Source organism: Homo sapiens, chromosome 5 (genome assembly GCF_000001405.40).
Source record: "Homo sapiens chromosome 5, GRCh38.p14 Primary Assembly".
Taxonomy (NCBI): Eukaryota; Metazoa; Chordata; class Mammalia; order Primates; family Hominidae; genus Homo; species Homo sapiens.
In genome coordinates, this window is record NC_000005.10 from 75,362,975 (window position 1) to 75,380,167 (window position 17,193).

The following is a 17,193-nucleotide window of genomic DNA, read 5'->3' on the forward strand; positions in this document are numbered from 1 at the left end:
TGATTTAGTTTACAATTATATATTTAAAGCTTAACGGATTGCTTTTTTCATTTTGGTGTGCTTGGAACACAGCCCTCCTACCCCTATCCCTGCCGCTTGTTTTCCATCCTGAGCAAGTTTGAGAGCTGCAGAGGGAGGTATGGGCACTCTTGCATCAGGATGTGAGTTTTCTAACAGCTGCTCCCTAAGGCCAAAAGAAGAGCCTCACACTAACAGCTGGAGTTAGGAGGCTGAATGCAAAAGATGGCTTTAATACTGCGGCTCTCAAATGAGTGTGCATTTACCCAGAGGACCTGCTTAAACAGACTGCTGGGCCCTGCCCCAGCGATTTCTGATTCTCTTGTTCTGGGGTGGGGCCGGAACGTGGCAGTTAACAGTTGCTGCTGCTGCTGCACTAATAGGTTGGAATTTCAGTATGAGGTGCCTGGTGGGGCTTGAATGAATGGTTTTACAAAACTGTTTATTCAGTAGCACAAGGTTGGGAAACACCTGGGGAGAGACCGAGTGTTGGCTAATAAAAATTTAATTGGAATTAACCCGAGAGATGTAATAACTAACTAGAAAATGTTATTTGAATTTGGTGCTCCTCACACGCCCCCCTCCTGTCCCAGAACAACACTGAAGGTCTTCTCCATCTCTTCAACCTGTGGAGTGACTGCCCCAGAGAGAGGCATTTGCCATCACCTATTCCGTTTACCCTCCTGTTTGTTCCCTGCACTCTGCTGCAAAGGGCCAAATAGGGGGAAAAATTGAGCTCCTGTTAAGGGTATGTATCACTGTCCACTCCCCATCCTCACCCCACCTGCCCTATGAAGTTTGACTCCTTTGAACTTTAATGTCCCAGGATTGTAGTGCTGGAGCAGGATTAGACCCAGGCAACAGCATTCCAGTTGGCTAATTCTGAAGCCAGTTGGCAGGGAGCATAAAAGTAGGAGGGCCTTGTGCCAGCTGCTAAGCATACAAGGTGTGTATGTGTGTGCGCGCCAGCTAACTAAGCATACGGGGTGTGTGTGTGTGTGTGTGTGTGTGTGTCTGTGTGTGTGTGTGTTGGAAGGAAAGCATCGGGAAGTAATCCAAACTAGAAGGGCTATGGTCATCTACCCTGTGTTGATTATGGAAGTCCTTTGCTTTCATGTCACTTGCAAATTTGAAGTGGGCTGGAGTGGAGGTGGGGGGGTTGCAGTTGGGGCAATTCTGTCTCCACTCTAAAATCAGCTGGGATTGTACTCAGTAGAATCCTTGGACACAATAAAGCAAATAGAGTATTAGCCCTGCGTGATGTGTGATGTTCTCCTGTAGCCCTGAAGCTCACGAAGGAATTAACAGAGGAGCCTCTACCTTCCTGCCCATTTCACTGTCTAGACTTGGGCTATAACCTCAAAGGGCTCTTACAATGAAATCAAGCTTTGGTGCACTTCCTCAGTCCTTTCTGATCTAAGACATAACCTGTGAGCTCTCGTTCTTAAAACTCCATCCTCTAATAACAAAAGGTACTCAGATCTGTATGGAGAGCTCGCCTACCTCAGGCCAATCCTCTTTCAACACACCTGGATGCTTTTACCCAGTGGTCCCAAACCTTTTTTTGGCACTAGTGATCGGTTTCATGGAAGACAATTTTTCTACAGATGGGGTGGGGTTGGGAGGATGATTTTGGGATGAAACAGTTCCACCTCAGGTCAGGCATTAGATTCTCATGAGTGCAACTAAATCCCTCACATGCGCAGTTCACAATATGGTTCTTGCTCCTATGAGAATTTAATGCTGCTGCTGATCTGACAGGAGGCAGAGCTCAGCCTAATGCTCGCTCTCCTGCTGCTCACCTCCTGCTGTGCAGCCTGCTTCCTAACAGGACATGGACCAGTACCTTATTCAACTGTACAACAGTTAAATAACTGAAGCTTGCTGGTATAGCCAAGAGAATGGTAATTTTAAATGGAAAGTTATTGGGGGAAAAGCCATCTTTAACTTGCTCAGGACAGCATTTAACTATGCCAGTAGAACTCAAACCTTGAACACCCCATCAGAAAAAGTTCTGGACACGCACCTCCAATAATTTTGTTTTTTGAGACAGTCTCACTCTGTTGCCCAGGCTGGAGTGCAGTGACGCAATCTTAGCTCACTGCAACCTCCGTCTCCCAGGTTCAAGTGATTCTCCTACCTCAAGCCTCCCAAGTAGCTGGGATTACAGACATGCACCACCGTGCATGGCTAATTTTTATATTTTTAGTAGAGACAGGGTCTCACCATGTTGGCCAGGCTGTTAATATTTCTTGATAAATTATATTGAATTATATACATTATCAAACAAAAAATTAAATGATAAAAAATATATAAAAATAAAAGCCAAAGATTTTTTATTCTGTACTGCAGAGATAAATCTTGCCCCCATTTTTTCCAGACTGAGGTCTCTGGAAGGCAGGGACTATGTCTTTTCTTGTTACCTTAAACAAGTGCCTTACATTAAAGGTCTAAGTTTGTTGAATGGCCGAGGCAATAAATTAATATACTCCACACTTATGCCAAACAGAAAACAGTCACAACAGAGGAAGGCAGTGTTGAGGGAGCTGGAAATCCAGAGACTTCCATTCCAGTCCTTGCTATGGCACTGACTAGCTGTGAGACCTTACGCTATTCACTTCCTATCTCGTCTTCAGTTTCCTTGTGAAATGACAGTTGGATTCGCTGGCTTCTAAGGAGGTATCTAGCTCTACGTAGTCTATGAAATGCTGTATTTATTGTGTCCTCATATAAACACAGAATCAGTTTATCATCCAAAGATGGAAACATGTATATTTTTGTAGTGGATGATATGAATCTCATGTGTATTGATACTTTAGAGAACAGCCTAGTACCTTCCACAGAGCACCACAGGGATTGTCAGCAGAGGTGACTCAGTCAATCTTTGTTTTCATCGTCTCTCCTCAGCAGTTGCAGCTAACTAGCCATAACCCTTTGCAGCCCAGACCTACTGTGGGCTGCCCTGCATTTCTTTTGACCCCTTGCTTATCTGCCACTATCTCTGGCTGGGAGAGCTGGCATCTCTTTATAAAGCTTAAGTCCTAGGGGAAAAGAAGATAATGGTGTTCCTTTTCCTGGATCTCATCCTTGCACCTTCTCATTGAAGTTAAAAACTCTTCTGCCCCTCCAGGTTCATTTACTGCTATTCACAACCTATCCATATTTTTTTTTTCACTTTTTTGCCACCTTAAACATACACTCCATTGAAACTGCTCTCTGACTTTAGGTGGGGCCTTGTGTTCTACTGGTCAGTTGAGCTGATAAGCTACAGCCTAGCTTATTAGTAGAGCTTCTAGACTAATACAACAAGCAATATCATAGTAGTTATATAATCCAAATACAAAGGAAAAGGACATATTATAGAACTGAATAACAGTTGAGGGGGTGCAGTGGCTCACGCCTGTAATCCCAGCACTTTGGAAGGCCGAGGTGGGCAGATCATCTGAGGTTGGGAGTTCGAGATGAGCCTGACCAACATGGTGAAACCCCATCTCTACTAAAAATACAAAATTAGACAGGCGCGGTGGCACATGCCTGTAATCCCAGCTACTCGGGAGGCTAAGGCAGGAGAATCGCTTGAACCCAGGAGGCAGACGTTGCAGTGAGCCGAGATTGCGCCATTGCACTCCAGCCTGGACAAGAGCAGAACTCCATCTCAAAACAAAAAAAAACCCAACAAAACACCACCACCACCACCATCAGGCTTATGGCGTAATCCCAGGATTTTGGGAGGCTGAGGTGGGCAGATCACTTGAGGCCAGGAGTTCAAGACCAGCCTGGTCAACATGGAGAAACCCCCATCTCTACTAAAAACATAAAAATTAGTCTGGCGTGGTGGTGCATGCCTTTAATCCCAGCTACTCGGGAGGCTGAGGCATGAGAACCACTTGAACCCGGGAGGCGGAGGTTGCAGTGAGCTATCGCACCACTGCACTCCAGCCTGGATGACACAGCGAGACTCTGTATCAAAAAACAAAACCAAAACCATTTGACTTATTCCCTATTCAAACGAAACCAGGTGGCAAGACCCACAGATATTTCTAAAACGTGTACAATAATAATGCTCCAAAAAGTCCCTCGGTGTCTCCCATTGCTGGCAGAACAAAGATCAAACTTTACACACTTCAAGGTTTTCTACCAACTGCCTGTGCCTCTCCCCCTAGTCTTCTCCCTTACTGGTTATGTCCTGGAGGTAGACTAAACCCCAGACAAGCCAAGTAACTTACAGTTCTGCTCAAAGCCTCCAAATGTTTGCAACTTGTCATTATTCCTGTCTCTTGCTCATCTTCCTATCTCTACCATTCAAAACCCAGCACCTAGCACATATTTGTAGTTGCCTTAGTATTCCTTAGTATTTGCATAGTACTTTAAAGTTTTTAAAGCACTAAAATACATTATCTTGCTCTTCCCCAAACCACCCTGTGATGTAGCCATAGTAGGTGGCTTTGTATAATTTTATAGATTAAAATAGACTTAGACACATTAAAATGATTTGCCCAAGATAAAAGCTGTTCAAGTGAGAGAGCAAGAGAACCTCTGGTCTTCTGACTTCTAAGTCTCATTCTTTCTCAGTATGTTTAACACATGGTAACCAGGAACTTGGAAATTTACTTAGAAATAACAACAACAAAAACCTACTGGATGCTGGGAATGAAAAGTGAGTCACAGACTATAAATTGTAGTTTTAAATTAAAATGAATACCATTAATGTGGTGCTATCAATGTACAGAGGTTGGTAAACTTAAAACACAGCAACAACCTATTTCCTATCTATCTTTTGAGAACTGAGAACCAAGAATTAAAAACACTTTTGTACATCTCAAATGTGGCTAAATCTATTGTTCAATGTACCTTATTCAAATGCTTCTGATCTCAAATCCTTTTTTTTTTTTTTTTTTTTTTTAAGATGGAGTCTTGCCCTGTCGCCCAGGCTGGAGTACAATGGTGCAATCTTGGCTCATTGTAACCTCTGCCTCCCGGGTTCAAATGATTCTCCTGCCTCAGCCTCCCGAGTAGCTGGGATTACAGGTGCCCGCCACCACACCCAGCTAATTTTTGTATTTTTAGTAGAGACGGGGTTTCACAATGTTGGCCAGGCTGGTCTCGAACTCCTGACCTCGTGATCCACCTGCCTCGGCCTACCAAAGTGCTGGGATTACAGGTGTGAGCCACCGCGCCCGGGCCAGCCTATTTCCTTTAACTTTGGATACATTTCTTAAAAGCCTGGTTATGACAACAATGAAGGCTATATGCTGGTTATCGTTTATCTCCAATCCTTCATGGCATGTAGTAGGAGCTCAATAAATACTTGCTCTGGGAACTGTTTTAGGGTGCTGGGGAATTACTGATATCCAATTTGCTAAAGTGTTTTGGACATTGACTAAACCTTGATTTAGCTGCTGCACGCAGATTCCCTGCTGCTGGACCCAGTTACCACTTAAACCTCCCAATCCTAACAACGGTAATACAGAAAAGAACCACAGTAAACCAAGCTGCAGTGAATCCAAAGCTCGCTTTATTTCCTCAGTGGTCATTCTGTGGCAGGCAGCCAACAAAACAGTGATAGTTATATTGCAGCTCATCCTTGGGTTGAAAATCTGGGATAAAATCCTTGGGCTTGTTTGTAGTAGTGTTTTATGACTCAGTTTCCTGTTTCATCCTCTGAGCTGGAGGACAGGAAGAAAGTTTAAGCACCTAATTGTGATCAAATTTCATCTTTACTGCCCTCCTTTCTGTATCTGGTGGGATTTTGTAAGACACATCGTTATAAAAGCCCCTTGACTTATGATGGGGCTACATACTGATAAGCCCCACTGTAAGTTGAAAATAAAACAATAATGTACTTTTGACAGAAGCACCTCCATTTATGATGTGGCTATGTGCTGATAAGCCCACTGCAAGTTGAAAATAACGTAAGTTGAAAACTTTTTTTTTTTTGGAGACAGAGTCTTGCTGTATCACCCAGGCTGGAGTGCAGTGGTGTAATCTCAGCTCACTGCAACTTCCACCTCCCGGGATCAAGCAATTCTCCTGACTCAGCCTCCTGAGTAGCTGGGGATTACAGGTGCATGCCACCACACCCAGCTAACTTTTTTATTTTTAGTAGAGACAAGGGGTTTCACCATGTTAGACAGGCTGGTCTTCAACTCCTGACCTCAGGCAATCCACCCGCCTCAGTCTTCCAAAGTGCTGGGATTACAGGTGTGAGCCGCTGCCCCCGGCTGAAAATGTACTTTTGACTTACGGTATTTTCCATATATGACTGGTTTATCGGAACGCAGCCCCATGGTAAGTTGGAGTGTACTGTATTTGTAGTGCTTTGCATAAAGTCGAACAATCATAAATCGAACCATTGTTAAGGAACCATGTGTATTTGGAATTTTGTGAAGCCAATATTGAAGTGTGGGACTAAGACCCATACACCAAAATTGCTAGTCTTCAAGCATGTTAGCTCTTTCTAGTCCATCAAACACTATATTCTAGATATTACACATAGGCATTAAAAAGTAGAGTCTAATGGGAAAAAAAAAAACTTAAGAGTCAGGGAATCAGTAGGTTTGTAACCCCAACCTGTTCCCTCATCTGTAAAACAGGGGTGGTACCACCAATCACCGCTACCACCTCCACAGGACTGTTGAGTGGGGAGGAGTCAGAAAAGGCATAGTGCCGGTACAGACACGGCGGAGATACCCTCACACACCACCTCATCAACCACAGAGCCTGGGTGACAGGAAAATCCTGGTTTGGCATCTTCTAATAACTTCAGAGATCTTAAAGATTTGTTCTAGTACTAACCTCACAGAATTCTATAGGAAGAGAGAATGAAGAGGCCAAATAAAGTAGCTTCACTTATGGTATTTGTGCAAGGCTATTCAAAGTATACAGATGTGGAACGTTCACAGAAAATGTGTCTTAAAAGGTAGACAATATAAATGATAGTATGAACTCTGTTGTAACCAAGTTCGAATAATGGCAAGAAAATCTGGAAGATCCTATAAAAGCAACCTCATTTGAAACTGCTAGTTAGAACTACACCTTATTTGCAGGTTATATGCCAAAGTCAAGTCTAAAGAAAAACTGCACAGTTAAAAGTGCCCTAGAAAATCCCTCTAGGAATGAGGACCACATAATATTTCTCTGTCATCAAATTCAACACAAGTCAGATTTTCCCTCCAGCATCCCACCAGATTAAGTAGTTGGCTTTTGTTTACAGATCACATTGTTTGGATGGCATGTATCTTTGAACACTAGGAGAGAAATATGCTCAGTGCCTTTCAATATGAATCCACTGACTGAGTGAAATGGAAGTCCACACTTCCCATTTCATGGTTGTTCTAGGGCATAAATTACCTGAGTGCAACAAGTGGAGCTGAGATTAAACGAGATTTAAATAAATGAGATTATTTATTTATGATTAAATGCATACAGCTCAATTACAAAATAAGTGTGTATCATTCACCAGCACTGTGCTTCCATTTTAGAAACACCCAAGTGAATATGGCTTCTCTACCAATCTTTTAAAACTTCTGGATGTGATCCACAGTAAGAAATTCATTGTAAACTGTAACCCATTACACACGTATGTGTAATACATATGACAAAAGATACACAAAATATTTATTACATGTCATGTACTTGATATATTCCTCCTGTTATATTTTGTTAAAAAAAAAACTGAGCTGGGCGCGATGGCTGAGGCCTGTAATCCCAGCACTTTGGGAGGCCCAGGTGGGTGGATCATCTGAGGTCAGGAGTTTGAGACCAACCTGGCCAACATGGCGAAACCCTGTCTCTACTAAAAATACAAAAATTAGCCGGGCATAGTGCCTCATGCCTGTAATCCCAGCCACTCAGGAGGCTGAGGCACAAGAATCACTTGAACCTGGGAAGTGGAGGTTGCAGTGAGCCAAGATCCCACCACTGCACTCCAGCCTGGGTGACAAAGCAAGACTCTGTCTCCAAAAAAAAAAAAAAAAAAAAAAATTTAGGCTGCAACTCAGTAGTTTTCTTGATCCCTAACTGGGTTACGGGAAGAACACTGAATTTCAAGCTCTTAACTATTCAGAGTAGGGCAATATCTCAGGGTTAAGGAAAACAAATCAAGCCAGCATATTTGTCCATAATATTTTAATACTTTTCCACTTTAAATACTGGTTTTAATTCTGTGATTGTAACATGGAAGATCCAACTTTATTGTGTTTAAAAAACATCATCAGGATCATAAAGCTATTATAGAAGTTACTCTACACACTCCCAAGGTACTTTAAAATGATTATGTTTTGAGTCTGTAGATGAACCATGACAAAATCCAAATACATCGTCTGTACAACTCGGACTAAATACTGGTGAAAAGTGTTTAATTGGACAAATAACTGATAAGCTTAAAGATAACCAGCACAATTTCACAAGAGAACCAGCTCAGCCCAACTAAAAATTTCTTAATAGCAATTGACACTGAAGTTGTATTAAGTGTATAAATTAGTTGATGAAACTGAACAAATAGAAAACCCATTCCTCCTTTTCCTTATTTTGCCTTCTTACACCTCCCTTGCAGATATAACCCTCCTTTGGTTTAGCTACCCCTGTGGCAATTCCAAACCAAGTACTGCAGTGATCATCCTCTACCTCAAAACCAGGAGTCCTGAATTCCAACTGAAACACTGTACTCTCTTGTCCTGTACAGTGGGCAGTCAGGGACAAAATCCCCACATCACCAATATATTTCAAGTTTCTAACATAGCACAAAAGAGTAACTGAGTAGAAAAGAGAGTAAAGGGTAGTTTTTTTTCTTTTAGTTTGGGGGAAGACAAATATCTGTAGATGAGAAAACATGAATATTCAGGATGTAGGAATCAGCTTAATGAAAATAATTGTAGAGGGTCTAAATGTTGTCCAGAAGGCCAGTACCTCTCCAAATTCTGACCTCTTTTGGACTCTTTCCACATTCCCCAATTTATTTCTCAATCTGATTGGGTGGGATTAACTCTAGTGAGGTACAAGTGCAGTTATCTAAAGGTAAAATGTTATCTTTTCTTCTTTTAATACAAATATTTTAGTGTAATCCTTTTATTTACAGAATCAATTGCAAAAGTATATCATCACATTTAGTCCAAATGCAACTAATGATAATTAGATTTAGATATTGCTTTGTAAACTTGCCATACTTCTGTAAAATAAAGCTATCCAATTCAGTTATGAAAGAGTTAACTGTCTGTGTTCATGATAGTTACCAGAAATGGCAAACAGAGAAACATTTATAGTGCGCATATAGAATTTTTTTGAAGATTCTTATCAGCGGCTATGGTGAATAAACCTGCCCTCCCCAACCCCCCCATTCTCCCATCCCAACCCCATACCCCACAGCTGATTGTAAAATAAAATACACATTTGAGGTATAAATTTTTCTTTTTTAAACATCACAATATAAAATGTTAACTGGTGATGTAGTAAACCAACATGATAATTTGTCTTATTTGCCTTACTAGCATTACCACCATATAGGCACTTTTCCACGTAGTCAAATTATGAACAGCATTTTTCTATAAGGCATATTCCATGCACATCATTTACAGAAAGGTAAATTAAAAAATAGAAAAGATTATGGAGCATGAAATCCGCGTGCATGTAATGTAAGCATATGTTTTATATGTATTTTTCTCTCTGTACAGAATAATAAATATCACTATATCTGATGCAAGTAATTCACTTCCAGGATTGTGCATATTAAGCGATCAGACTAATCCCATCATTAAATTATTATCTTGCACTTATCATTAAGACTCCATTACCATGTATGTGATATATACAGGACATGTTCCATGTAACATGATTTTCCGCTTTACAAAATGGGTCTGATTTCTGTGTTTTTACAGAGCTGAACAAGTCAGCAAAGCATCTACAAAATGCCTCTGATTTGTATAAATACACTGGTGTGTAAACACAATGAAGATTTTGAAGTGGGCAGTCATTTCAACTTCAGTGAGTACTATTCCTTGCCTCATCTCCATGCTTCAATGTTGTTTACAGGACTTAAACTGAAAAAGGTATTTTACATTTTAAGTTCTTACAGCAACAAAGAAAAGCATTTCAGTTTAAATCATGTGGAATCCTTACCGCTCTGCTGAAGTTTCTGATCAAAAGGCAAAGAGAGGCATTGCTCACATTTTCTATGTATACTTTGCAACATATCTTTTAAACTGACCCAAACTGGAAGAACAAACATATATACCCGTTACTGAATACCAGAAATATTGAATTAAATGTCAAACTCAGTCTGATTTGCTTTAAACAAGTGATACCATATACTATCTTAGAAATTTCAAGAAAACATGAACTTATCTTGACCATTTTCCAGAAAGTAGTCTATACCAACAAGATTTGTACAGATGTTTCTGTTTGGAGACAGGCAGAACCAATTTAGGGCTTACCAAATTGTGTTCATAACAAACTGAAAAAAATCTCTAGTACACAGTACACAACTAAAAAATATAATAGAAATATAAAGATATCTAGGGGAAGAAATAAAGCTTTTCACTTTCTCCATCAGAACCAAGGTTCTTCATGGGAGTAAGACTATAGAAAAGGCAAAATCACAGGTTACTGACAGCCCTCAGTTATTAAGAGACACATGACAACATGAATCATTATAGAAATCAGCAGCAATGAATTCTATGATTATACAAAGCAAAAAAGTCAAAAAATTCTGGACACAGATTTGACTGTAGGCCTGAAAAAAGAACCTCATCCAGATATTTGGTGCACAGAAAGCACATGCCCCATGTGCATTCAACTTTTGTGCTTTTCTTTTGTGCACAAAACCTGATACAACAGAGGATCTTAGGCCGGACCATAGTAAATTAAAAATTCTGAAAAAGTATCCAAAAATTAAAGCATCAATTCCTAGTTGTGATTCAAAGTTGATTTTTTTTTCTCTTCTAGGAGCAAGCAAATAAAAATATAGCCATATACATGTAATTTTACATGTATTTATAGTTATATGCTGAGCAAGGAGATCTAGCAAGAGATAGCTAGTGTTAGATGTTCAGCTTTGCTATTGCAATATTTTGTCATTTTTGTACACAAGGCCAAGGTCTTGGGCCACAGACAAGGCTATAGATCCTACGTTCCAGCTTAGAGCATTCAGCTTTTTTTTTTCTTTTTTTCTCCAACATGGAATGTCACACAGCCTTGCTTCAGTCACTGAAGGAAAAAAAAAAAAAAAAAAGACAAGTAAAAAACTCAGCAGTATGTTTGCTACGAACAGCTGCAAGACTACCAGAACAGAGTTCTCCCACCCTCCATATTCATGGAATGCATGGAATCTCTATTAAAATTTATCATTATGAATGCAAAATTATTAACCTTACAAATTTGAACTTATTCCATCAGCAAGGAATCAAAGGTATATGGAATTTTTCAAAAGTTAGAAAAAAAAACGGGAACAGTCCTCTCTACAGTCCAGGCCTCCAAGATGACAAAGAAAAGAAGGAACAATGGTTGTGCCAAAAAGGGCCACAGCCACGTGCAGCCTGTTTGCTGCACGAACCGTGCCTGATGCGTGCCCAAGGACAAGGCCATTAAGAAATTCGTCATTTGAAACACAGTGAAGGTCGCAGCAGTCAGGGACATTTCCGAAGCGAGTGTCTTTGATGTCTATGTGCTTCCCAAGCTGTTATGTGAAGCTATATTACTGTGTGAGTTGTGCAACTCACAACAAAGTAGTCAGGAATCGATCTCATGAAGGAGAAGGATCGAACACCTCCACCCCAATTTAGACCTGCGGGTGCTGCCCCATGACCCCCACCAAAGCCCATGTAAGGAGCTGAGTCCTTAAAGACTGAAGATGGACTATTCTCTGGAGAAAAATAAAATGGAAATTGTACTTAATATTGCATGCTGAGTGTATCTGTGCCACCTAGGGTGAGAATTTTGTGTGTGTGTTAGACCAAGTGTGAAGTGACACAGTGTATTTTCATGGAGAAGAAAGCTTATTCATGTAAATCAAATCTTAATTGTTTGCAGTCACATCCTTGGCCTCACAATTTGCATAGTTGTGTAAAATAAAGGGGGCACAGGCACCTGAAAAAAAAAGGGCAATATAGGTGAGCAGAGGTAATCAGTGAAAGGTCTCTGGATTTTTACTCCACAACATGGCATTTCTTTCCTCTTAGCCTGCAATAAAAATTATGACATACAATACTACTTACCAAGAATTTAAAAAATGTATTCAAGCTATGAGAGAGAGGCCTGCCTTATTTAATCAACAAACATGCTCAGACCTCTTTGTCAAATGAGTTTAAAAGTTTTTACTGGCGGGGCTAGGTGGCTCGCACCTGTAATCCCAGCACTTTGGGAGGTTGAGGCAGGCGGATTGCTTGAACTCAGGAGTTTGAGACCAGCTTGGGAAACATGGTGAAACCCCAACTCTACTAAAAGTATAAAAAATTAGCCGGGCATGGTGGTGTGTGCCTATAGTCCCAGCTACCCAGGGAGGTAGGAGGAACACCTGAGCTTGAGAAGTTGAGGCTGCAGTGAGCTGAGATCGCTCCAGTGTACTCCAACCTGGGCGACAGGAGTGAGATGCTGTCTCAAAATAAATAAATAAATAAATAAATAAATAAATAAATAAATAAATAAATAAAATAAATAAAAATATATATTATATATAATATATATATAAAGTTTTTACTGTTAAACAACTTTGGATCTTATTAACTCTTTACAGAACTTTCTCTAAAGATGATACACACATTATTGAATGTTACTATTTTTTTCCATCACCAAAATTAAGAATGTTCGCTTTCCTAGGGTTTCAATGCTGGGTTCGACTTCATACATTTATCTTCCATAATTATTGTAAAAAAAAAAAAAAAGTTACGTTACAGTAACAAAGATTTTACCATGTTAAGGTTTGAATTTGGATCTTTGTTAGAAAGAAGCTCAATCTGGACTCAAAAAGCCAAATCTGAGTTTGGGCCAATGAATCTTTTCAGCTGTATCTTTGCACACATATACATGTACCCACAAACAATAGACCTCTCTTCCCCAGAGATGAATTTTTTCAGATTCCAAGCTCCTCCCTCCCAGGTCCACAAATGAAAAATCTGTGAACATACACATGCACACACACAGAGAGTCAATGAAACACCGCTCTAAATCCAAGTCTAGAAGCAAATGCTGCTAATATCCTACCATTTATCTTTCAACTGTTTAAAAAATTATTCTTCTCAAATATAATTGAGAGCATGTTTTACACACAACTGCATTCAGATTTCTCTTGCTTTAATACAAAGTTGTATTTCTGCCTTGCTTGGTTGAATATCTGAGAACCTTTGGTAAGGAAGTCATCATAAAGCATCAAGAGGGAGGCCGTTTCAGTGAGGTCATAGTGAAGAAGAGAGAAGGCAGATATAGTTAGAGTGAAACAAAATCTGGTCTTGGATAGAGTGAAACAGCACCACTTTAAAAACCCTAGAGGCCATGGCAAAGAGACACACAGCGAAGCAGGGTGATAAGCCTGTTGCTGTCACGTGCCATCAGTTTTCTGGTTTATTTGATAAATATGGCACAGACTCAGAATCGATAAGAAGTAATGTGTCCAGATCTAGCTATAACAATTCTAAAGTACAAGATATAAAAATTGTCAGCACACTGAATGCAGTGCACTTGTGCTTGAAGAGAGAATCCCTAAAGGGTAAGGCTATATTCCAAAACACCAATCATTCAGGTAACTAAGACTGGAACCTATTTAATATTTTCAAATACCCTTTTTCCTGGGATAAAGCTAAACAACTGAGACATCAATGCAATATCCCTTATGTTAGTATGGGATATTAGTTAGTATCGGACAATAAATTTAGCTTTTGCATTTTTTAAAAGAAAGACATACTATAAACATCATTAGAAATCAGACTTGTTTAAAATTATTTCATTATATAATTGACTATTATTTTTAGCTAAAGAAAAGGACTCAAGAATATACATTTCTCAGTCAATTATTTAACATCCAGTGTAGGTGAGAATGAGAGAATATTCATGTTATTGCTTACCATTTGTGTATCACAATTGGCAATATCTACTAATATTTTAAATGTTATTACAAAATAGAATTTATAGAAATAGTACTATACAAAAGATTCTCAATGGACTAAAGCAGGCTTAAACTCAGTCATAAGAAGAGGAATACAATTAAAACTACACTGAGAGAGTATTTTTCACCTAATGAGTTGGGAAAGTTATAAAGTTTTGTTTTACACGTTGTATGAAAAACTGTGGGACACAGGGACTCCAATTCATTATTGCTGTTGAGATGGTCAATTACTATAACCTCTATGAAAAGTAGTATCTAAATTATGCACAAACCCCTAGCAGGGCCAGTAGTACCACATCTATTAATTTTCCCACATATAAACTTGCAAGTACAAAATGACATATGGATACAATTATGACACTGCTCTGGCAGAAATTGGAAACTGTAATATTCGCCAATGCAGAACTGATTAAATAAATTATGTACATCTATACAATGGGATACTGTATAACCATCAAAATGAGGAAGCTCCTTACAAATATGTGAGACCTTCAAGATAAAATAAATGCAAATATAAGATGTTGAACAGTGTTTATAGTATGCTGCTGCTTCTTTAACAACAAAAAAAGTGTATCTGTGTAGAAAATACACTTGTATTTGTTCATTCAAGCATTAAAAACTTTCTAGAAGAAACTAGTAATAGCATATGTTAATACTATATGGTGAATGCAAGACAGGGTAAATTTTACTGTATAACTTTTTCATACTTTTGACTTTATTTATTTATTTTTTGACAGACATTACCTGTCCAGGCTGGAGTGCAGTCGTGTAATCACAGCTCACTGCAGCCTCAAACTCCCAGACAAAGCGATCTTCCTGCTTCAGCCTCCCAAGTACCTAGGACTATACATGTATACCACCACGCCTAATTGTTTTTTGTCAAGATGGAATCTTGCTATGTTATCCAGGCTAGACTTGAACTCCTGGCCTCAAGCCATTCTCCCACCTCAGTCTCCCAAAAAGTGTTGGGATTACAGGTGTGACCCACTGCACCTGGCCACTTTTGGCTTTTAATCATGTTAACGTATCACTTACTTTAAAAAGTTAAAGATTTTGGGCTGAGTGCAGTGGCTCACGCCTGTAAACCCAGCATTTTGGGAGGCCCAGGAGAGCAGGTCACCTGAGGTAAGGAGTTCGAGACCAGCCTGGCCAACATGGTGAAACCCTGCCTCTACTAAAAATACAAAAATAGGCTGGGCGTGGTGATGGACGCCTGTAATCCCAGCTACTCGGGAGGCTGAGGCAGGAGAATCGCTTGAACCTGGGAGGCAGAGGTTGCAGTGAGCCAAGATTGCACCACTGCACTCCAGCCTGGGCAGCAAGAGAGAAACTTTGTCTCAACAACACCAAAATAAAGTTAAAGATTCTACCTCTTTGCATAAAGGTGTTCAGTGCTGTACTGGTTGACAGTAAAAATATGGAACCAACTCAGACATTAACATGGGACTAGTTAATAAATTCTGCAACATGCATGTAACAGATGTTAAAAGAATGAGATGTTTTACACATCTCATGTCTTATAAAGAAAGATAGTCAAGATACATTGTTAAGTGAAAAAAAGGTTATAAAACAAGAATTTTGTATAATAGTAAGTATAAACATTTTAACATTCAAAAATATGTCAGTACATACACAGAAAAATCTGGAGGAATATACAACAAAAATAACAGTTTCTGGGAAAGGAAAGAATACAGGAAGTTTGCACTTCTACAATTCTACAGTTCTATAATATCAAAATTTCTTTACATAAGCATTAGAAGAAAAAGGAAACAATAAAAGAATTAAGTTTTAAAGGCTATAAACTACAATTTTCAAGGCCAGGCACGGTGGCTCATGTCTGTAATCCCAGCACTTTGGGAGGCTGAGGCAGGAGGATTGTCTGAGGCCAGGAGTTCAAGACCAGCTTGGGTAACATAGCAAGACCCCTATCTCTACAAAAAATAAAAAATTAGCTGAGCATGGTGGCACATGCCTGTGGGGACTCCCAGCTACTGGGAAGGCTGAGATGAGAGGATTGTTTGAGGCCAGAGGTTGAGGTTGCAGTGAGCCGTGATGGTGTCATTGCACTTCAGCTTAGGAAACAGAGCAAGACCCTGTTTAAAACAACAACAACGACAACAACAAAAACCAACGAAACAATACTCTATAGGGGAACATCAAAAAACATAGTAAATACTTTCAACAACTAAATTTTAGTATTGACAGTCATATTAGTCAAATAAAGTTAAAAAAAGATAAAACATATCTTCTAGTACCTGTTAATACTAGAACAAAATAGGCTTTCCTGCAGTTTTTTCTTGGACGTAAGAAGTAAAACGTTTTAGAAATTTAGGATACTCTCGCTTTGCCACTGCCCTTAACACTGAGGCTGGTGCCCATCCTCCAGGGTTCACTGCAAGATAAAGGAAAATTAAAATGTATTAAGATACAATTCTCCAAACATATGTGAAGCACTTAATTTGTTCCCTTGTTTTTAAAATATTCCTCACATTGGACCAATTAGCATCTTTTTTTTTTCTTTTTGAGACGGAGTCTTGCTCTGTTGCCAGGGTGCAGTGCAGTGGCGCGATCTTGGCTCACTGCAACTTCCGCCTCCGGGGTTCAAGTGATTCTCCTGCCTCAGCCTCCGGAGTAGCTGGGATTACAGGTGCACGCCACCATGCCCAGCTAATTTTGTATTTTTAGTAGAGATGGGTTTTCACCATGTTGGCTAGGATGGTCTCGAACTCTTGACCTCATGATCCGCCCGCCTCAGCCTCCCAAGGTGCTGGGATTACAGGCTGAGTCACTGTACCCAGCTGGACCAATTATGATCTTTTAAGTCCCAACCCTTCATTCCTTAACACTATCCATCAGACATAATCAGACAGCAAATAAGAAAGCATCTATAACCTTTCTACAATGTTCTTAGTTCCCGAAATTACCTGCAAAAATTAGTATAGCACCACTTAAGGTTATTTAGGGCAGATTATTCACAAATCTGTACTATAATGAAATAGTAACTTACTCAGGTACAACTGTTTCTTTGAACATACTAGCAGTTATGGCCCTGTATAAAGAAGGTATGACTTTTGATGAGAGAGGTT

General features: G+C 39.7%; 1 protein-coding gene and 1 pseudogene across 9 annotated transcripts in view, besides 2 other annotated features; one reads left to right on the forward strand and one right to left on the reverse strand.

Moving 5' to 3' along the window:
* Window positions 3,909-4,218: an enhancer, noted in NCBI's record as "active region_22679". NCBI's record gives its function as "activates an Ori minimal core promoter by ATAC-STARR-seq in GM12878 lymphoblastoid cells {active_cell/tissue: GM12878}" and the evidence as "EXISTENCE:reporter gene assay evidence [ECO:0000049][PMID:35858748]".
* CERT1 (ceramide transporter 1) overlaps window positions 5,512-17,193 on the reverse strand; it is a 143,496-nt gene continuing 131,814 nt past the window's right edge. For 2 of the 9 annotated variants that reach the window (NM_001379003.1, NM_001379002.1), the window contains 2 exons: window positions 16,363-16,499; window positions 5,512-5,684 (listed from right to left, as the gene is read on the reverse strand). In NM_001379003.1, coding sequence (NP_001365932.1) covers window positions 16,372-16,499 — 128 coding nt within the window. In that variant the 3' untranslated portion in view covers window positions 5,512-5,684; window positions 16,363-16,371. Of the gene's footprint in view, window positions 11,218-14,800; window positions 16,500-17,193 lie in introns of those variants that run through there. The other 7 variants (NM_031361.3, NM_005713.3, XR_007058566.1 and 4 more) reach the window with 6 other exon arrangements.
* On the forward strand, window positions 11,463-12,035 carry RPS26P26 (ribosomal protein S26 pseudogene 26; annotated as a pseudogene).
* Window positions 16,696-16,866: a silencer, noted in NCBI's record as "fragment chr5:74675495-74675665 (GRCh37/hg19 assembly coordinates)". NCBI's record gives its function as "represses an EF-1alpha promoter that drives an FKBP-Casp9 reporter gene in an ReSE screen in K562 erythroleukemia cells {active_cell/tissue: K562}" and the evidence as "EXISTENCE:reporter gene assay evidence [ECO:0000049][PMID:32094911]".